General features: G+C 46.5%; 2 protein-coding genes across 8 annotated transcripts in view, besides 2 other annotated features; both read right to left on the reverse strand.

The window, feature by feature from the left end:
- The window catches only part of HVCN1 (hydrogen voltage gated channel 1), a 56267-nt gene extending 43229 nt beyond the window's left edge, over positions 1–13038 (reverse strand). For 2 of the 5 annotated variants that reach the window (XM_024449225.2, XM_011538842.3), the window contains exon 1: positions 6685–6804. The gene's annotated coding sequence lies outside the window, so the exon portion shown is untranslated. Of the gene's footprint in view, positions 1–6684; positions 6805–7241; positions 7386–10394; positions 10520–12960 lie in introns of those variants that run through there. The other 3 variants (XM_011538846.3, XM_017020026.3, XM_011538847.2) reach the window with 3 other exon arrangements.
- Positions 6446–6595: a silencer, noted in NCBI's record as "silent region_4861". NCBI's record gives its function as "represses an Ori minimal core promoter by ATAC-STARR-seq in GM12878 lymphoblastoid cells {active_cell/tissue: GM12878}" and the evidence as "EXISTENCE:reporter gene assay evidence [ECO:0000049][PMID:35858748]".
- Positions 6866–6925: an enhancer, noted in NCBI's record as "active region_7026". NCBI's record gives its function as "activates an Ori minimal core promoter by ATAC-STARR-seq in GM12878 lymphoblastoid cells {active_cell/tissue: GM12878}" and the evidence as "EXISTENCE:reporter gene assay evidence [ECO:0000049][PMID:35858748]".
- Positions 16462–21816, reverse strand: part of PPP1CC (protein phosphatase 1 catalytic subunit gamma) — a 34516-nt gene continuing 29161 nt past the window's right edge. For all 3 annotated transcript variants that reach the window (XR_007063094.1, XM_011538505.4, XM_011538504.4), the window contains one exon: positions 16462–17120. Coding sequence is in view for 1 of the 3 variants with exons in the window: in XM_011538505.4 (XP_011536807.1) it covers positions 17071–17120 (50 nt within the window). In the remaining 2 variants the exon portion in view is untranslated. The remainder of the gene's footprint in view (positions 17121–21816) is intronic.

The following is a 21816-nucleotide window of genomic DNA, read 5'->3' on the forward strand; positions in this document are numbered from 1 at the left end:
GTCCATACTTTTTGGGAACCAGGATCCCAAAGGAACACTTCAGCAAGTCTGGAGAATTTGGTGATATTCTCAGCATTGTCGTGTTTACTGAAATACTGCTACTGCTCAGGCATTTCAGTGGACAGGAAAAGATCTCAAATGTGTTACACTGTTATCCCCAGGCACAGGATTTGACCTGCAGTAGGTACTTTACATTCCTATTGCATAAATTAATGAGTATTGAGCATAATAAGATTGGGGTGCCCTCCATCATTGCTACTATTCAACATTTCACTGATGAGCTCAGTCAATGCAATAAAACAAGAAAAAAGAAATACAAAGACTGAAAAGAGAAAGACTATTATTTGCAATCGATGTGATTGTCTACCTAGAAAATCCAAAAGACCTAACAGACTAACACGTGACCACCTACTGTGTGGTAGGCCCTTTCAAGGTACTAAGTATAAGATGAAGGAACAGCCTTTGTTCTTAGTGAGCTCCCATTTTAGTTGGGAAAGTGAGGCCAACAATACTTAAAGGAGAAGGCCGGGCATGGTGGCTCACACCTGTAGTCTGAGCACTTTGGGAGGCTGAGGCGGGAGGACTGCTTGAGCCCAGGAGTTCAAGATGAGCCTTGGTGACAGAACAGTACCCCATTTCTATAAAAAATGTTTTAAAAAATTAGCTGGGCATGGTGGTGTGCCCCTGTAGTCCCAGCTACTCAGGAGGCTGAGGTGGGAGAATCCCTTGAGCCCAGGAGTTCGAGGCTGCAGTGAGCTACGATTGCACCACAGCACTCCAGCCTGGGTGACAGAGCAAGACCCTGTCTCTTAAAAAACAAAAACAAAAACAAAAACAAAACAACTTAGGGAAGAGTAAGCTGAGGTCCACAGAAAGAATCCAGGAGGTCTATTAACTTGGGTGGGAAAAAAATTCTTTATTTTCATTAACCTCTAACTGAAACGTATTATTACTTTGTTTGTTTGTTTAGAGACAGGGTCTCACTTTGTTGCTCAGGCTGGAATGCAGTGGCTCGAGCACAGCTCACTGCAGCCTCAAACTCCCAGGCTCAAGTGATACCCCTGTCTCAGCCTCCCAAGTAGCTGGGACTACAGGCACATGCTACTGTACCCAGCTAATTTATTATTTATTTATTTTTATTTTTTGTAGAGATGGGGTCTTGCTTTGTTTCCCAGGCTGGTCTCAAACTCCTGGCTTCAAGCAATCCTCCGGCCTCAGCCTCCCCAAATTTTTTTTTTTAAATTGGGATAATAGACATGAGCCACTGGCCTTTAACTGAAATTTAATATTTCCTTCAATTATGAATGTAGGTAACAAATTACAGTTGCATTACAAACGTCACTAACTGGCCAGGCGCGGTGGCTCATGCCTGTAATCCCAGCACTTTGGGAGGCTGAGGCCGGTGGATCACCTGAGGTCAGGAGTTTAAGACCAGCCTGGCCAACATGGTGAAACCCTGTCTCTACTAAAAAATACAAAATTAGCCGGGTGTGGTAGCGCATGCCTGTAATCCCAGCTACTTGGGAAGCTGAGGCAGAAGAATCGCTTGAACCCGGGAGGTGGAGGTTGCAGTGAACTGAGATCACGCCACTGCACTCCAGCCTGGGCAACAAGAGTGAAACTCCATCTCAAAAGAAAAAAAAAACGGAAAAAAAAACCCACTAACTTTGTCATCAGTCAAAATCACAGATGTTTTTAAACCACAGTATAGTTATTGGAGATATCTCAAAATATAACTTATATGTATCATTACTTCAAAATTATAGTAGTTACTGAGCCAGCTGTTCTTATAGTTTAATGTGTACTATAAGAACTCCATCTATTTATTACAAGTAAAAAAAAATTCAAAACTTCAATGCAAGATAGCTGGCATCATTTGTAATACGATGCATTCGTTCTGTTTTATGCATTGAAAAACATTACTCTTGGAAGAGGTCCAGAAGCTTCCCCAGATGTCAAAGGCCCCAGATTACAAAAAGATTAGGAACTGCGTTAGATGAAGGACTTGTTCCGGTTTGGGCAATACCAAAGCAGTTCTCTTACACAAGGCAGTCCTTGCCCCACCCCCGGTCCTCCGCATTTCTTACCAAGCAGTGAGCCCAGCTTGCTTGAATTTTCTGGGTGTCCTGCCTTTTGATGTTCATGGAGCGTGTACTTACTTATTTAGGGATGGGGTCTTGCTCTGTCACCCAGGCTGGAGTGCAGTGGTGCAATCACTACCCACTTCGGCCTTGACCACCTGGACTCAAACTATCCTCCCATCTTAGCCTCCTGGGTACCTGGGACCACAGGCATGCATCACCACACCTGGCTAATTTTTATTTTTTTGTGGAGACAGGGTCTCACTATGTTGCCTAGGCTAGTCTCAAGCTCCTAGGCTCAAGGGATCCTCCCGCCTTGGTCTCTCAAAGTGCTGGGATTCTAGGCATGAGCCACCGCGCCTGGCCACATGGAGCATTTTGAGGAAGATCTGAGTACAGCCCTGGGGGACTGGGCCATCCCTGGGCTCCAGGACAGCTGGGGCCGGGCCAGGGCAGTGGCCAGCTCTGGCTTTCCCCAGCGGGAAGAGAGAGGGCTGCCTCTGCTGGTTTTGGTTCCTCCAAGGCAGTTATCAACGGCTACAGTTGACCACTTCCCTTCCTAGGGCAAAAGCCCTGTCCTGGCTCTGGTAGAGTGTGAGAAAATGGACAGAGGGAGAGAAAAGTAGATGAGTTCTCAGCCAGAGACAGGGTGGGGGTTCTGCTGGGATTTCTTAGAGTGACATCTGTTGTTTAGGCCCAGAGGTGCCTTTCCCAGCAGATAAGATTTATCTACAGCAGTGACGGCCACACGACGGGATCTGCACAAGGCCTGGGCACCGATGCCTGATGACGCAGCTATGTGAAAAGGGCACGGTCACCTCCAACTCTCTTCTCTGGCACTCGGCTCAGCCTTCTGCCTCACAGTTCAGAGTCACACAGAAGAGTAGGAAGAACACAGGCATTGCATCAAAGAGGCCTGGGTGTAAATCCTGCCTCAATGGTTTCCCTTGCCCGCTGGGTGATCTGTCATCAATTCAGCAAAGAGTTTCTGAGTGCCAACTATGTGCTAGGCAGAGAACACAGAGTTGAGTAAGACAGGCAGGTCCTGCCTGCCCTCATTAAACTTAGTCTATATAGGGAGGCACACAAATACTAAACGACAAATTACAAAGTGATAAGCATTGAAAAGGGGGCTGGGTGCGGGGGCTCACGCCTGCAATCCCAGCACTTTGGGAGGTTGAAGCAGGCAGATCACTTGAGGCCAGGAGTTCAAAACCAGCCTGGGAAACATAGTGAGACTCTGTCTCTACATACATATATGTATATACACACACACACATATATATACACACACACACACTTATATATAAACATTTCTATAATTATAATTGTATAATTATAATTGTATAATTACATATATTTTGTTTATTTTGTGTACACACACACACACACACACACACACACACATGACCTAGCCAGGTGTGGTGGTGCATGCCTGTATTCCCAGCTACTCAGGAGGCTGAGGCCAGAGGATTGCTTGAGTCTGGGAGGTCAAGGCTGCAGTGAGATGTGATCACGCCACTGCACTCCAGCCTGGGTGACAGAGTGGGACCCTGTCTTGAAAACAATGAAGTATTGCAAAGGAATGAGCTGGGGGTTGTGGTGGAGATAACAAAAGGTGGAGACTGAGATGCAGATCCACTGAGGCAGGACAGCAGGGAAGGGGTCTCTGAGGAGGTGACATTTAAACGGACACTGAAAGCTGAAGTAGAAGCAGCTATGAAGAGAGAGGGACAACCTTTTCAGAAGAGAGAACAGCATGTGCGAAGGGCCTGAGGTGGGAAGAGCTTGGCCTTATGAGGCCAAAAGGAGGCCAAGATTGTGGATGCACAGAGGAGGGTGAAGAGAGTCATAAGAAGTAAGGCTGGGGAGGAGGCCGGAGGCCCACAGAAGGGGCTGGAGTCCATGTGGAGCACAGGAAGCCATGGGAGTTCTAAGCAGGGGAGGGATCGTTTGATTTTTTTTTTTTTTTTTGAGATGGAGTTTCATTCTTGTCGCCCAGGCTGGAGTGCAATGGCGCGATCTCAGCTCACTGCAACCTCTGCCTCCCAGGTTCAAGCGATTCTCCTGCCTCAGCCTCCTGAGTAGCTGGGATTACAGGAGCCCGCCACCATGCTCAGCTAATTTTTTTTTTTTTCAGTTGAGATGGGGTTTTGTCATGTTGCCCAGGCAGGTCTCGAACTCCTGACCTCAGGTGATCTGCCCACCTTGACCTCCCAAAATGCTGGGATTACAGGTGTGAGCCACTGTGCCCGGCCAGGACCATTTGATTTTTTACAAAAAATGTAGTAAAATACACATAACATAAACGTTACCATTTTACCCATTATCAAGCATACGGCTGGTGGCATTTAGTACATTCACAATGTTGTGCAAGCTGCACTGCTATCTAGTTCCAGAACCTTTTCATTATCTCAAAAGGAAACACTGTCAAAGGCCCCGTACATAGTGGCATGCACCTGGAATCCCAATCACTTTGGAGGCTGAGGCAGGAGGATTGCTTGAGCCCAGGAGGTGGAGACCAGCCTGGGCAACATAGCAAGACCCCATCTCTAAGAAAAAAAAAAAGGAAACCCTGTACCCATGAAGCAGTTCCTCCCATTCCTGTCTCCCTCCAGCCCTAAGAACCTGCTAGTCTACTTTCTGTCTCCATGGATTTGCCTGCTTTAAATGGAATATCATCATATATGGTCTTTTGCGTCTGGTGTCATTCATTGAGCACAATGTTTTCAAGCGTCATCCATGTTGTAGCATGGTCCTTCATTCCTTTTATGGCCAAAGAATATTCCACTATATGGGTCTACCACATGTTGCTTATCCTTCCATCCACTGATATGGTTTGATTAAAAAAGATAACTCTGGTTTATATAATAAACCAGATAAATCTGGGATTAGATTATAGGGAAGATAAAAATGGAAGTGTAGAGGAGAGATAAGGATGGCTTGGACAAGTCGGTTGGGAGTAGGGAAGGAAAAAGGGGCATGATTCCAGATCCATGTGGGAGACAGAAAAGACAGGGGGGAACTGTGGGTGGCATGGACATGTAGGGGAGAGGAAGGGGCAGAGCACCGGAGTGCACTGTGGTGCCCTCCATCAAGCAGAGAAGCCTGGGAGGGGGCCAGGTGGAGGATGTCCCCATTTTTGATAATGTTTTATTTGAATTGTCAAAGTGGAGGTGTCACCTGGGCAGTAGGATCTGAGTCAGGAATTTGGCAGAGAGGCTTGGGCGTCATCAGTGCACAACTGGTATTGACAACAAGGCCTGGGCTGTGATCCCCTTCCAGAGTGTTGACAAAGGGGTTCAGGACCAAGCTAGGGCCTGGGCAGGTGAGGAAGAGGCTGCAAAGGAGACAGAAAGAGTAGCCAAGAGGTAGAAGGAAAAACCAAGGGTGTGTGGGATCCTGGAAACCAAAAGAGGAGCGTTTTGAGGAAGAGGAAGGAATAAGTGGTGTCAGATGGAAACTGATAGGGTGAACAGCGCAGAGAGGGAGAGAGTGGAAAGGAGATACAAAAGCACTTGAAGGGAGCAGAGAAATGGGAGGACAGCTGGAGGGGCCCACACTGGAGTCCCCCCAAGACTAGCATAGCACCTGGAATGCAAGAACACCCATTGATTCAGTTCTTACTATATGCCACTCACAGCGCGAAGCATCTTTTTTTTTTTTTTTTTTTGAGATGGAGTCTTGCTATGTCGCCCAGGCTGCAGTGCGGTGGCACGATCTCAGCTCACTGCAACCTCCGTCTCCCAGGTTCAAGCGATTCTCCTGCCTCAGCCCTGCCTAGTACCTGGGATTACAGGTGCACACCACCACGCCTGGCTAATTTTTGTATTTTTAGTAGAGATGGGGTTTCACCATATTGGCTAGACTGGTCTCGAACTCCTGACCTCGTGATCTGCCCACCTCGGCCTCCCAAAGTGCTGGGATTACAGGCATAAGCCACTGTGTCTGGCCGTTAAGCATCTTGTCTCCATTTCACAGCTAAGGCTGAGACTCAGAGAATTATTCACAAGGCCACACAGCTGGTAAGAGGCAGAGCTAGAACATGAACCTGGCTCCCAATACAGGATTCTCAGTGGGCTCCTTCTCTGCCCGCAGAGACAGAGGGGGTGCTGCTACTGTTCGTGGGTCAAGTTCTCCAGTCCTTTAGGATCTTTCTTGTCTGCTTTGTATTATTATTTTTTTGTTGAGTCAGGGTCTCACTATGTTGCCCAGGCTGGTCTTGAACTCCTAGCTTCAAGCGATCCTCCCGTCTTGGCCTCCTAAAGTGTTGGGATTACAGGCGTGAGCCTCTATGCCCAGCCTTTCCTGTCTGTTGAAGTCGGTGAGACTTAACATTGGGAAGATGGAGGCAGAAGACACTAGAAATATGCTCTAACTCACTTTAGTGAGCAGAGCCTTACACTCAAGGGTTTAGCAGCATCTCCTTGTTCCACCTGCTGGTTGCTAGTGGAAAGTGCTCTCCACACCTCGGTTCCGCCCTCCAGGCCAACTAGAGGCTTCCGCAGCCGCTGCAGCACTGGAGCAGAGCCGAGGTGGGAGGACTCCTGGCTTCTCCACCACCGGAGTCTACATTGAACTCCCTCGCACCCCTTGCAGTTACCTGTTGCAGCAGAGGTCATGTGATCATCAAATGCTCTGGCCAGGGGGACCCGAGCACTGTCTGCAGGGACTTCCAGGAGTTTCCTCCTCCTGCGTCTCCTTCCTCTGGACAAGGCCCAGTGCTGAGTCACTCCGTCCACTGGCCCTGGGCAGCCCCCGCTTCCCTCCTTCCGTTTTTGAGAGGAGTGGACCTGTTTACTCATTGTTGGGTCAGGGAGTCTGGTGCTTACTGTCAAGAACACACAGCCAGCCGGGCACGGTGGCTCACGCCTGTAATCCCAACGCTTTGGGAGGCCAAGGTGGGCAGATCACTTGAGGCCAGGAGTTCGAGACCAACCTGGCCAACATGGCAAAACCCCATCTCTACTAAAAATACAAAAATTAGCCGGGCATGGTGGTGTGCATCTGTAATCCCAGCCAGTCGGGAGGCTGAGGCAGAAGAATCACGTGAACCCGGGAGGTGGAGGTTGCAGTGAGCTGAGATTGCTCCACTGCACTCCAGCCTGAGCAACAGAGTGAGACTCCATCTCAAAACAAGCAAACAAACAAAACACTTACAGACTTGGCCAGACTTGACCTTTGCTGGGATTTGCTGGGCTTTGCTGGGCTTTGCTGGGTCTTGGCTGCAGCCCAGGGCACATTTCGTGTTCTCGGCACACTCGCTGGGTCCCTGGTGGAACTGCTCATCCAGGCATCCCCCTCTTCCTGCCAAGGGGTGGGCCTGGAACGGGAGCCAATGGGAGAGAGACAGAGCCATGGCGAATGGCCACATGCACTCCTGTTGGGGTGGGCTCCTGCAGCAGAGAAGCTCCCAGGCCCCCCACCCAAGCCAGGGTTTCTAGGCCTCCGTCATTCTATGGGGGCCCCACTGCCTTCCAGCCGTCTCCTGTTTGCTCCAGTCAGCCTGAACTGGTTTTGTTGTCTGCAGCCTAGGAGCCCAGTCCAGGAGCTGAGGGAGAGACAGAGAAGACGAGGTCCTTTCTGGTAAGGGACACACTCGAAGTGCGGGAGGCAGAGCCGAGAACAGCCAGATCGAATGTGAGGCTGAAGAGTGAAATGGCCAGTGATGATGATAACGGGGAGATAACAGCGCCGCTGCCCCTCCTCTCCTGGCCGTGTGCCAGGCGCTGCGCCGGGCACATGATACACATCTCTTCTTCTAGTCTTCACAATGGCCATGAGGTAGGCCCTCCGATGAGTTAGGATTATGTTCTGCGCAGTAGAAAGTCCTAAATATCAGTGGCTTAAACAAGCCAGCGCTATTTCTCATGCCACAGGCTGGAGGCATGAAGTCCAGGGCTGTAAGTTGCCTCCGTTCCACAAGGTGGCAGGGACCCCCCGCTCTGCCAGGCCTAAGGGCCTTCTTCCTCCTGGTCCAAGAGGGCAGCATCTGCATTTCAGGCAGGAGGACCCAGGAGGGGGCGAACAAGATTGGGACCATAGACACGTGCCGGCCACCTCTCCGAGGAATTGCCCAGAGTGGCCACACGACACTGCTGCTCCCAGCCCGTGGGCAGCACTTAGTCCCATGAACAAAGGAGACAGGAATTGTGGCCTTTATTTAGGGCACCACATGCTAAGCTAAAAAGTCTGCGATTGTTGAAGAAGTGGAGAAGAGATCTTTGGGAACCTGCCAGTTATGGTACAGATAAGAAAGACAAGGCTCAGAGAAGTGAAGCTGTTTGTCCTTGTCGCCCAGCCATGAAGCGGCAGGGTAGGACTCCAATGGGACTTAAACTCTGAATCACACAGAGGACAGCAAAATCGCAGGGAGCCAGAGGAGGCCTTTGGGGCAGTGGCGTTTAAGCTGGGTCTCCTGGGCTAGGAAAAGGGGAGAAAGGACATCGAAGCAGCCAAGTTGTAGAAGAGTGAGTATCTTTTGAAGAAAACCGCTTATCTCGGGGTGGCATTTCTGGGCCACTGCCTGACTATCTCCAGCAATGGGGAGTTCACTTTCTGTGAGGCAACTCATTGTACTTGGGAATATTTCGATCTCTCTCTCTCTTTTTTTGTTTGACAGGGTCTCACTCTGTTGTCCAGGCTGGAGTGCAGTGATGCGATTATGGCTCACTGCAGCCTTGACCTCCTGGGCTCAAGTGATCCTCCCGCCTCAGCCTCCCAAAGTGCTGGGATTACAGGCATGAGCCACCACACCCGGTCTACTTGGAGATATTTATAATTGGAGTTTTCCCTCAGAGAGTGTGACTGCTGTCTTCTGTTTTTCCCTGCTCGGCATCTCTTGCCCTTCTTCTGGTACCATCGACTGTCCGATAATTTCAGTCCAGGTGGTTTGAGAGGCTGACCTAACCAGGCTAGTGGGGCTCAAGAGTGGAACTCCAGCTGGAACTCTTAGTGGAGAAGTCTCAGCTGGGACTACTATTTGCAAGGATGGATGGGCCCAGCCCCATGGGGCATCACATGGGGAAGGCCCGCCTGGAAGTTAGACCAACACAGAGCAGAGAGCAGGGCCACAGGATGGAGAAACAGAGGCCGCATCTGGTCTCACTGAGGCCTTGTATCCAGCTGCGCCCAGTGCTACCCTGGACATGTTAGTTGTACAAGCCAGCAGATTCCCTCTGCGCTACGGCCAGTTTGTTTCTGTCACTTTCACCTGAAGAGCGCTGACTAATGGAGGTAGAGCGCTCCAGCCTGTTTTTATCACCATCTAGAGGGAGCTGGGGAACACCTGTGTGTTTTATAAAACTACTAGGGCCTAGAGCAGTGTTTTTCCAAGTGCAGGCCACAAAAAAACAATACCAGCATCACTCTGATACTAAACTTGATGAAAATGCACATTCTTGGGCCCCAACTTCCAAATCAGAATCTTGGGCAGTGAGGCCCAGGACTCTGCATTTTGTCTAGCACTCCAGGAGATCTTCAGGGCACCCAATTTGAGAACCAGTGGCTGAATTAGGTGACCTGGGATCCAATCTAGCTCAGAGCCTGCCACCAACTTGGATATTAAAACAGGTCCCTGAGCTGGGCGAGGTGGCTCACGCCTGTAATCCCAGCACTTTGGGAGGCCAAGGTAGGCAGATCACTTGGGGTCAGGAGTTCAAGACCAGCCTGGTCAACATGGTGAAACCCCATCTCTACTAAAAATATAAAAAGTAGCTGGGCATGGTGGTGCACGCCTGTAGCTCCAGCTACTGGGGAGGCTGAGGCAGGAGAATCACTGGAACCTGGGAGGCGAAGGTTGCAGTGAGCTGAGATCGTGCCATTGCACTCCAGCCTGGGCGACAGAATGAGACTCTGTCTCAAAAACAAAACAAAACAACAAGAACAAAACAACAACAACAACAACAACAACAACAACAACAAAACACACACAGGTCCCGGTAGCTTTTCTTTTTTCTTTTTTTTTTGAGACGGAGTTTCACTCTTGTTGCCCAGGCTGGAGTGCAATGGCACGATCTTAGCTCACTGCAACCTCGCCTCCCGGGTTCAAGTGATTCTCTTGCCTCAGCCTCCCCAGTAGCTGGGGCTACAAGTGACTAAAACTTGGTCTAACACATCACAGGCACACATATATGCTTGTAAATACAAAGTAATGATCTAGAAGAAGACAGAAGAAACCAAGACTGAGGAAGTCTTGGCATCAAAATGGCCCTGGTTTCTGGTTCTAGATCAGCGCGGCTCCCCCACCCCTTCTGGTCTGGGCCTGGTGTATGTGGCCCTGAGTCAACCTTTGGTGAGCACGCAGGTACTTACCAGGGGCTTGGGGCCAAGTGGGGCCATCTGTGACACAGGGTCAGGAAGTTAGATGCTTGCAAATAAGCATTTCAGATGAGCCAGTCTACTTTCAAATGCCGTTGGGGTGAGGTAGGCAGCGTTCTCTTTGGAAAACAGGAGGGCAAGACAATACAATAAACTATTTAATTTATTATTATTATTATTATTTTTGAGACAGAGTCTTGCTCTGTCACTCAGGCTGGAGTGCAGTGGCATGATCTTGGCTCACTGCAACTGCTGCCTCCCGGGTTCAAGCAATTCTCCTGCCTCAGCCTCCCAAGTAGCTGGGATTACAGGTGTGCGCCACCATGCCTGGCTAATTTTTGTATTTTTTTTTTTTTTGAGATGGAGTTTTGCTCTTGTTGCCCAGGCTGGAGTGCAATGGCACAATCTTGGCTCACTGCAACCTCCACCTCCCGGGTTCAAGTGATTCTCCTGCCTCAGCCTCCCGAGTAGCTGGGATTACAGGCATGTGCAACCATGCCCAGCTAATTTTGTATTTTTAGTAGAAATATGGTTTCTCCATGTTGGTCAGCCTGGTCTCGAACTCCTGACCTCAGGTGATCTGCCCGCCTCGGCCTCCCAAAGTGCTGGGATTACAGGCATGAGTCACCATGCCCAGCAATTTTTGTATTTTTAGTAGAGTCAGGGTTTCACCATGTTGGCTAGGCTGGTCTTGAACTCCTGACCTCAAGTGATCCTCCTGCCTTGGCCTCCCAAAGTTCTGGGATTACAGGTGTGAGCCACCGCACCAGGCCCAGTAAACTATTTTAAAAAATGCAAGGCTTGGTGCAGTGGCTCCCAGCGCTTTGGGAGGATCATTTGAGCCCGGGAGTTTGAGACCAGCCTGGGCAACATAGTAAGGTCATGTCTCTACCAAAAAAAAAAAAAAAAAAAAAAATTAAAAATTAGCTGGATGTGCTCTGGTGCATGCTTGTAGTCCCAGCTACTTGAGAGGCTGAGGTGGGAGGATTGCCTGAGCCCTGAGGGTTGAGGCTGCAATGAGCTGTGATCCCACCACTGCCCTCCAGCTTAGAAGACAGAGTGAGATCCTGACTCTAAAAAAAAAGGAAAAAAAATTAAAAATTAAAAAAAATTTAAAAAATCATCTTGTGGCGATCCAAGCAGAAATATTTATACATAAAATGGTATCTAAGACTTCAAAATAACCATATTGGGCGAGTGCCGTGGAGATGAAACAAATTTGGCTCCAACTTGATGCCTGCTAAGGCTGAATGATAGGTATGTGGGGCTTCAGAAGTACTCTTCTACTTGTGTATATATTTGATTCTTTTTCAGAGTTAAAACAAATAAAAACGACCGCCCCACTTTGTTTATTTATTTATTTCCCCCCGCCTCTCTCTTTTTTTTTTGAGACAGAGTTTCACCTCATCGCCTAGGCTGGAGTGCAATGGCATGATCTCGGCTCACTGCAACCTCTGCCTCCCAGGTTCAAGCGATTCTCGTGTCTCAGCCTCCCAAGTAGCTGGGATTATAGGCGTGCGCCACCATGCCTGGCTAATTTTTGTATTTTTAGTAGAGATGGGGTTTCACTATGTTGGCCAGGCTTCTCTCGAACTCCTAGCCTCATGTGATCTGCCCACCTCGGCCTCCCAAAGTACTGGGATTACAGGTGTGAGTCATCACGCCTGGCCTATTTTTCTCTTTTTTAAAATGTATTGTTTCTCTTATTAAAAATTTTTTGGGACCTCTCCAGTTTGATTGACAATTTGACTGCATGAAATTTATCCAACAGAGATCACCTAAGTTGAACATGTGTACGCCTAAGTATGGGCCAGGATATTCCCTCTGGCATGATTTATAGTAGCAAACAAGGGCAAACAACCTAAAAGTCCGTCCATGGGGGGTGGTTAAATAAATGATGGTAAAGCCATACAAAGGAATATTGTGTGGCTCTTAAGAAGAAGGTAGCAATATGTACACATAATACAGAATAATCCCCAAGATTTATTATTTAGTATAGGTTAATATACTCACTTAAATAGAAATGTAGAAGTGTATACAAAAAATAGTGTGGGCCAGGCATGGTGGCTCACGCCTGTAATCACAACACTTTGGGAGGCTGATGCGGGCAGATTGCTTAAGCCCAGGAGTTTGAGACCAGCCTGGGGCAACATAGCAAGACCCTGTCTCTACCAATAATTAAAAAAAAAAAAAATTAGCCAGGTGTGGTAGTGCGTGCCTGTGGTCCCAGCTACTTGAGAGGCTGAGACGGGAGGATCACTTGAGGCCAGGAGTTGGAAGCTGCCGTGAACTATGATTGTGCCACTGCACTATAGCCTGGGCATCAGAGTGAGACCCTGCCTCTAAAAAGAATAAAGTTAAAAAACAAAAATAGAACACACCTCCCCAGGTAAACAAATGCAGGGGTAGTAGCTAAAGCACTGTCACTGTAAATGAACAGCCACACCTGGTGACTAGTAGGCCCCCAGGTATCCCCCTGGGCTGGGTTTCAGGGATGGGGCCCTGCCATTCCTTCTGGCACAATCCTAGAGCTGGCCTAGGGTCCACTGAGCTCACTTGCCTCTTTTGGCCCCGATGCAGTGGGCACTTCTCCACCTGCACATGTTCACCTCCAGGAGGCAGGCTGGGAAAGAAGCTTGTTACAAAGAACAAACGTTTCCAGGTAAACACTGTCAGCTGTGATGGCATAAAACAGGTCCCCATGTCTGATCATACGGTTTTTTTTCCCCACACACGTTTTTTCTATTGTACTTTTGGCTTCACGCTTCTCTATTTTCAATGAAGTGAAGAAGAACCTTATTTCAATAAGCTTTTTGAAAAATTAGAATCAGGGGCTGAGTTGAAAGAATAGAATGAAATAGAGCTCTACAATGTATTAATATGGGAAATCTACAAGATACAGTAAGTAATGAAAACAATGACTCGATGTCATTTGTTAGGAAGATAGGTACTTATACACGCTGGCACAAAAAACAAACAGGGACAGTTTCCTCTGGGGAGGGATCAGGGGCAAAGGGACAATTTAATTTCACATTTTAAAGTGTCTGCATTTTTGTTTTAAAAGACTGTTTTCCAGCCTGGGCAACATGGAGAGACCCTCACCTCAGGTTCGGGAGGCTGAGGTGGGGGGATTGCTTGAGCCTGGGAGGTTGAGGCTGCAGTGAGTCGTGATTGCACCACTGCACTCCAAGCCTGCGCAACAGAGCAAGACACTGTCTCAAAAAAAAAAAAAAAATTGTTTACAGTGCTTTTATGTTCATGGCAAAATTGAAAGGAAGGTACAGAGATTTCTCATATACCCTTTGCCCCCACTCCATGCATAGGAGTATTTGGATCTTTAAACCATGATTTACATGCTATAACATTTATTAAAAAATTAATTTAAAATGTTAAAATATGCTAAAAGAAAAGAAAAGAATCTGGGAGGCTGAGGTGGGAGGGTAGGAGGATCGCTTGACATCAAGGCTACCGTGAGCTGTGAGTGCACCAGGGCAATCCAGCCTGGGAGACAGAGTGAGACCCTGTTTCAAAAAGAACCAGTAATTGATTTGTTGACTGCATGAAATTACTTTCCTGGCTGGGCGCGGTGGCTCACGCCTGTAATCCCAGCACTTTGGGAGGCCGAGGCAGGTGGATCATGAGGTCAGGAGATCAAGACCATCCTGGCTAACACGGTGAAACCATGTCTCTACTAAAAACACAAAAAATTAGCCAGGCGTGATGGAGGGCGCCTGTAGTCCCAGCTACTCGGGAGGCTGAGGCAGGAGAATGGCATGAACCTGGGAGGCGGAGCTTGCAGTGAGCCGAGATCGTGCCACTGCACTCCAGCCTGGGTGACAGCGAGACTCTGCCTCAAAAAAAAAAAAAAAAAAAAAAAAAGGAAAAAAAGAAATTACTTTTCCTTCAGTTTCCTAGTTGGCTCTGTGTTACTTCTGGAAAGCTTGTGGATCTCTGTGGAACAGAATTTCCTAACTGTGCTTTTAGCAAACTATCAGCTACATGATGGTAGGGGGATGGAGTTCTTGTTTTGTTGTTACTGTGTTTTACACCTTTCATCAGTGCTACCTGGATTTGGTGGCAGGAAATAGTCAAACAATAAAAATAATACCTAATATTTGCTGCCTATTATGTGTCTGGGTTCTTTCCATGTACTAATTTATTTAGTCTCAGAGTAACCATTGATATAGATGCTGCTATCCCTATTTTTTTATTATTATTATACTTTAAGTTCTAGGGTACATGTGCACAATGTGCAGGTTTGTTACATAGGTATACATGTGCCATGTTGGCTTGCTGCACCCATCAACTCGACATTTACATTAGGTATTTCTCCTAATGCTATCCCTCCCCCAACCCCCCACCCCCCGACAGGCCCCTGTGTGTGATGTTCCCCACCCTGTGTCCATGTGTTCTCATTGTTCAACTCCCACTTACGAGTGAGAACATGCAATGTTTGGTTTTCTGTTCCTGTGTTAGTTTGTTGAGAATGATGGTTTCCAGATTCATCCATGTCCCTTCAAAGGACATGAACTCATCCTTTTTATGGCTGCATAGCATTCCATGGTGTATATGTGCCACATTTTCTTAATCCAGTCTATCATTGATGAACATTTGGGTTGGTTCCAAGTCTTTGCTATTGGGAGTAGTGCTGCAGTAAACATATGTGTGCATGTGTCTTTATAGTAGAATGATTTATAATCCTTTGGGTATATACCCAGTAATGGGATCACTGGGTCAAATGGTATTTCTAGTTCTAGATCCTTGAGGAATCGCCACACTGTCTTCCACAATGGATGAACTAATTTACAGTCCCACCAACAGTGTAAAAGTGTTCCTATTTCTCCACATCCTCTCCAGCACCTGTTGTTTCCTCACTTTTTAATGATCGCAATTCTAACTGGTGTGAGATGGTATCTCATTGTGGTTTTGATTTGCATTTCTCTGATGACCAGTGATGATGAGCATTTTTCATGCGTCTGTTGGCTGCACAAATGTCTTCTTTTGAGAAGTGTCTGTTCATATCCTTTGCTCACTTTTTGATGGGGTTTTTTCTTGTAAATTTAAGTTCTTTGTAGATTCTGGATATTAGCCCTTTGTCAGATGGGTAGATTGCAAAAATTTTCTCCCATTCTGTAGGTTGCCTGTTCACGCTGATATTTTATTTTGCTGTGCAGAAGCTCTTTAGTTTAATTAGATCCCATTTGTCTATTTTGGCTTTTTTTGTTGCCATTGTTTTTGGTGTTTTAGTCATGAAGTCTTTGCCCATGCCTATGTCCTGAATGGTATTGTCTAGGTTTTCTTCTAGGGTTTGTATGGTTTTAGATCTTACACTGAAATATTTAATCCATCTTGAGGTAATTTTTGTATAAGGTGTAAGGAAGGGATCCAGTTTCAGCTTTCTGCATATGGCTAGCCAGTTTTCCCAGCACCATTTATTAAATAGGGAATCCTTTTCCCATTTCTTGTTTTTGTCAGGTTTGTCAAAGGTCAGATGGTTGTAAATGTGTGGTGTTATTTCTGAGGCCTCTGTTCTGTTCCATTGGTCTATATATCTGTTTTGGTACCAGTACCATGCTGTTTTGGTTACTATAACCTTGTAGCATAGCTTGAAGTCAGATGCTGCTATCCCTGTTTTACAAGGGAAGCACTGAGGCACAGGGAGATTAAGGGATTTGCCCAAGGTCACACACAACCAGAATGCAAGAGTCAGGATTCCCACCTGGGCCACTGGCTGCAAACCCCAGGCTTTAACCACTGCCCAGTATGGCCTCTCAAGAGAAGCAACAGCTTCCAGAAGCTGCCCCTGTGGGCTTCTGTAGACTGGGGTGCCAGTGTAACTAGCTACATGAATCCACCAACTCACTACAGAAAGGGGTACCCTGCTTCTGTAACAGCTAGGTTGAGCTGCATAGTTTGCAGAAAACCTTAGTATAGTTTTGAGTTAGTTTCCTACTTCTTTACAACAATTGGCTCTTAAAGGAATAGAAAGCTTAAATGGAATCTCACCCATCTATCTATATTGTTTAGAAACTATTAGCAACTCAGAAAGTTCTCTCATGGCTGAAAGATATATATGACTCCAATGTTTATTCATCAAAACAAACACATGCACAATGAAAATATTACAGTTATTACCAATGGGATCTCCATTACTCTTGGCAAAACAATTTTCTCCTGAGAATTCACAACCAGGATCTGCAGGTTTGTGGCCTAATTTCATGAGACTTGTATGATCTGAAAAATGTCAAGTGGGTCTGGGCATGGTGGCTTACACCTGTAATCCCAGCACTTTGGGAGGCCAAGGTAGGCAGATTACTTGAGGTCAGGAGCTCGAGAACAGCTTGGCCAACATGGTGAAACCCCGCCTTTACTAAAAGTACAAAAATTAGCCGGGCATGGTGGCAGACACCTGTAAATCCTGCTACTTGGGAGGCTGAGACAGGAAAATTGCTTGAATCTGGGGTGGAGGTTGCAGTCAGTGAGCTGAGATCGCACCACTGCACTCCAGCTTGGGTGACAGAGCGAGAGTCCATCTCAAAAAAAAAAAAAAAAAAGAAAAGAAAAGAAAAATGTCAAGTGAGCAAGTGAGGATTTAAAGTCTAGGTTGATACTGCCCCAGTCTACCAGCAGAGGCAAACTCTGATCTTCTCTGGAGGAGCTCAACTTCAATTCAGGCCGCAGAGAATCCCATGGATAAAGATGTGAAGAAAATGGGCAACTCTGTCAAAAAATCACAACACACACAGAGAAACAACTATGAGGAACAATAGAAACAACAGATGATAGAAACATTCAGAAGAATGGCAAAACCCCCCACAAAAACACACAAATGATAGATACAAACCCACAAACACTTCAGATATTGGAATAATCAGATAGAACATAAAATAACCATGTTTATTATATTTAGAGAAATAAAACTTTTTTTTTTTTGAGACAGAGTCTCCCTCTGTTGCCCAGGCTGGAGTGCAGTATCGCGATCCCGGCTGACTACAACCTCCACCTCCCGGGTTCAAGCAGTTCTCTGCCTCAGCCTCCCGAGTAGCTGGGATTACAGGCATGTGCCACCATGCCTGACTAATTTTTTGTATTTTTAGTAGAGATGGAGTTTCACTATATTGGCCAGGTTTGTCTTGAACTCCTGATCTCATAATCCACCCACCTCGAGCTCCCAAAGTGTTGAGATTACAGGCATGAGCCATGGTGCCCGGCCAAAAAACGTCAGACCAGAAGGCCATGGGGTCAAATAATTTTTTTTTTTTGAGACGGAGTCTCACTCTGTTGCCCAGGCTGGAATGCAGTGGTGTGATCTCGGCTCACTGCAACCTTTGCCTCCCTCGTTCAAGTGATTCTCCTGCCTCAGCCTCCCCAGTAGCTGGGATTACAGGTGCCTGGCTAATTTTTGTATTTTTAGTAGAGATGGGGTTTCACTATGTTGGCTAGGCTGGTCTTGAACTCCTGACCTCAAGTGATCCACCCGACTCAGCCTCCCAAAGTGCTGGGATTACAGGCATGAGCTACTGCGCCTGGTCAAATTTTAAAAGTTTTAAAAAGATTAGCAAGAAATAATAGATAATGAAGAATGACCAAGTGGATTGTGAAAAACAAAAAACTCCAAAATAATAATAATAATAATAATAATAATAATAATAATAATAATAAAGGAAAACAAAAAACCCAATAGAACTTGAGATAAAAATGTAGTAATTAAAATTAAAAATTCAGTGCATGGATTAGATTAAGCACAACTGAAGAAAAAATTAGTAAACTAGAAGATAGAGCTGAGGACATTATCAAGAATGCAAACCATAGGGAAAGAGATGGAAAAAAACAAGATGTTAAAGTGAAATGAAAGACAGAATGAGGTCTAATACACCTCATTATATTTCCCAAAGAGAATAGGAAAAAGGGCAAAGATAACCTCTAATATTAATAATGCAAATTAAGGCCAGGTGCAGTGGCTCAGGCCTGTAATCCCAGCACTTTGGGAGGCCAAGGTGGGCGGATCACCTGAGGTCAGGAGTTTGAGCCCAGCCTGGCCAACATGGTGAAACCCTGTCGCTATTAAACATTTCAAAAATTTTCAAAACAAAAATATTTTTGTTTTGAAAAACAAAAATTAGGCTGGGTGCGGTGGCTCACACCTGTAATCCCAGCACTTTGGGAGGCCAAGGCGGGTGGATCACAAGGTCAGAAGATTGAGACCATCCTGGCTAACATGGTGAAACCCCATCTCTACTAAAAATACAAAAAATTAGCTGGGTGTGGTGGTGGGTGCCTGTAGTCCCAGCTACTCAGGAGGCTGAGGCAGGAGAATGGCATGAACCCAGGGGGCAGAGCTTGCAGTGAGCGGAGATTGCACCACTGCACTCCAGCCTGGGTGACAGAATGAGACTCTGTCTCAAAAAAAAAAAAAAAAAAAAAAAAAAAATGCTTGCTGGGTGAGGTGGCTCATGCCTGTAATCCTAGCACTTTGGGAGGCTAAGGTGGGCGGATCACTTGAGCTCAGAAATTCAAGACCAGCCTCGGCAACAAGGCAAGACCCTGTCTCTCTAAAATATAAATAAAAATGTTTAGGCCGGGCAGGATGGCTGACGTCTGTAATCCCAGCACTTTAAAAGGAGGCTGAGGCAGGTGGATCACTTGAAGCCAGGAGTTCGAGACCAGCCTGGACAACATGGTGAAACCCCGTCTCTACTAAAAATACAAAAATTAGCCAGGCATGGTGGCATGTGCCTGTAATCCCAGCTGCTCAGGAGGCTGAGGCAGGAGAATTGCTTGAACTCAGGAGGCGGAGGTTGCAGTGAGTGATGGTGCCACTGCATTCCAGCCTGGGCGACAGAGTGAGACTCTGTCTCAAAATAAAATAAATAAATAAATAAAAATTTTTAAATGCTGAAGGAAACTGTTTACAGAAATACATATATTTCTCTTTCTATGAAGCTCAAAAATTGCCTGGTACTGTGGTTTGCACCTATAATCCCAGCTACTTGGGAGCCCGAGGCAGGAAGATCTCTTGAGGCCAGGAGTTCCAGACCAGCCTAAGCAATATAGCATGACCCTGTTTCTATAAAAATAAATAAATTGGCAAAATTTAACAGTATATTGCTTAGGGATACAAACACAATGAAGAAAAGTAAGGAAGTGATTACTTTCAAATTCAAGATCATGGTTAACTCTCGAGGGAGATGGGTAAGTATGTAACTGGGGAGGTACGCACACGGGCTCTTAAGTTATTGGTAATATTCTACTTCTTAACCCAGGCGATGGGTATGTGGGTGTTTTATGTATTCTTTTGTATTAAGACATTTCATTTAAAAAATACACTAGCCAGGGGCAGTGGCTCATGCCTGTAATCCCAACACTTTGGGAGGCCGAGGCAGGAGGATCACCTGAGGTTGGGAGTTCGAGACCAGCCTGACCAACATGGAAAAAACCCCATCTGTACTAAAAATACAAAGTTAGCTGGGCGTGGTGGTGCATGCATGTGGTCCCAGCTACTTGGGAGGCCGAGGCAGGAGAATTGCTTGAACTTGCGGGACGGAGGTTGCAGTGAGCCGAGATCGCACCATTGCACTCCAGCCTGGGCAACAAGAATGAAACTCTGTCTCAAACAACAACAACAAAACAACAACAAACCATTAAAAATACAGTCACATGCCACCTAACGAGTTTTCAGTCAATGATGGACCGCATATGTGATGGTGGTCCCATAAGACTATAATACCATATTTTTACTGTAGCTTTTCTATATATTTATATATGTTTAGATACAGAAATACTTACCATTGTGTTATAATTGCCTACAGGGTCCAGTGCACGTTTGTAGCCTGGGAGCAATAGGCTCTACCGTATAGCTTATGTCATCTAGGTTTGTGTGGGGACACTATGGTGATTTGCACAATGATGAAATTGCCTAATGACATACTTCTCACAATGTATTCCCATCGTTAAGTGACACGGGACCATATATATTATATAAAATAACATATAAAATGACAATATACCTTATAGATACACACACATTGAAAAACAGACACACAGGCCGGGCGTGGTGGTTCATGCATGTCATCTCAGCACTTCGGGAGGCCAAGGTGGGTGGATGGCTTGAGGTCAGGAGTTCGAGACCAGCCTGGCAAATGTGGTGAAAACCCGTCTCAACTAAAAATACAAAAATTAGCCACGTGTGGTGGTGGGTGCCTGTAATTCCAGGTACTCGGGAGGCTGAGGCAGGAGAATCACTTGAATCCGGGAAGCGGAGGTTGCACTGAGCCAAGTTAGCACTAGTGCACTCCAGCCTGGGCGACAGAGAAACTGTCTCAAAAAAAAAAAAAAAAAAAAAAAAAAAAAAAGGGGGGGCACTGAAATCCCCTTGATGAAAAACCCTGGTCTCCTAAAGGATGCTTTGTTCAAATCTGCAAAATGCTTTTCTGATCTCCTGTGTCTGTTACCACAGTGCTAAGAAATGAAAACCAGGCTGGGCGTGGTGGCTCACACCTGTAATCCCAGCACTTTGTGAGGGCAAGGCGGGTGGAACACCTGAGGTAGGGAGTTCGAGACCAGCCTGGCCAACATGGAGAAACCCCATCTCTACTACAAAAATACAAAATTAGCCAGGCGTGGTGGCATATGCCTATAATCCCAGCTACTTGGGAGGCTGAAGCAGGAGAATTGCTTGAACTTGGGAGGTGGAGGTTGCGGTGAGCCGAGATTGCACCATTGCATTCCAGCCTGGGCAACAAGAACGAAACTCCATCTCAAAAAAAGAAAAAAGAAATGAAAACCAGCAAATAACTTGGAAAATGGTAGTTACATGTTGACTTTCTTTTTTTTTTGGAGATGTAGTGTCACTCTGTTGTCCAGGCTGGAAAGCAGTGGCATGATCTTGGCTCACTGCAACCACCACCTCCTGGGTTCAAGCAATTCTCCTGCCTCAGCCTCCTGAGTAGCTTGGACTGCAGGCACACGCTGCCACGCCCGGCTAATTATTTTGCATTTTAGTAGAGATGAGTTTCACCGTGTTGCTCAGGCTGGTTTTGAACTCTCGAGCTCAGGCAATCTGCCCACCTCGGCCTCACAAAGTGTTGGGATTACAGGCGTGAGCCACCGTGCCTGGCCATGTGTTGACTTTCTACTTGGAGAATACTTGGATTGAACTTCTTAGCTATTTGGATCTTAGACAAGGCATCACAAAATCAGGGAAGGCTCTACCTAATAAGTTGTACTAACATCTTACTAATGCTGGTCTACAAACACAGGCCTGTATGTAGCAGCCAATATTTTTCCTAGAGCGTGGTTTCAATCTTTGGAGGTGGAAGCTGTTCGGGGACAAGCAGCCCCCAGCCCCTGCTTTTAACAGAGCTGTTCTGATTTTATTCATTTTACATGAGGCCTCCAATATTATTTTGTTTGATGG

Source organism: Homo sapiens, chromosome 12 (assembly GCF_000001405.40).
Source record: "Homo sapiens chromosome 12, GRCh38.p14 Primary Assembly".
Classification (NCBI taxonomy): Eukaryota; Metazoa; Chordata; class Mammalia; order Primates; family Hominidae; genus Homo; species Homo sapiens.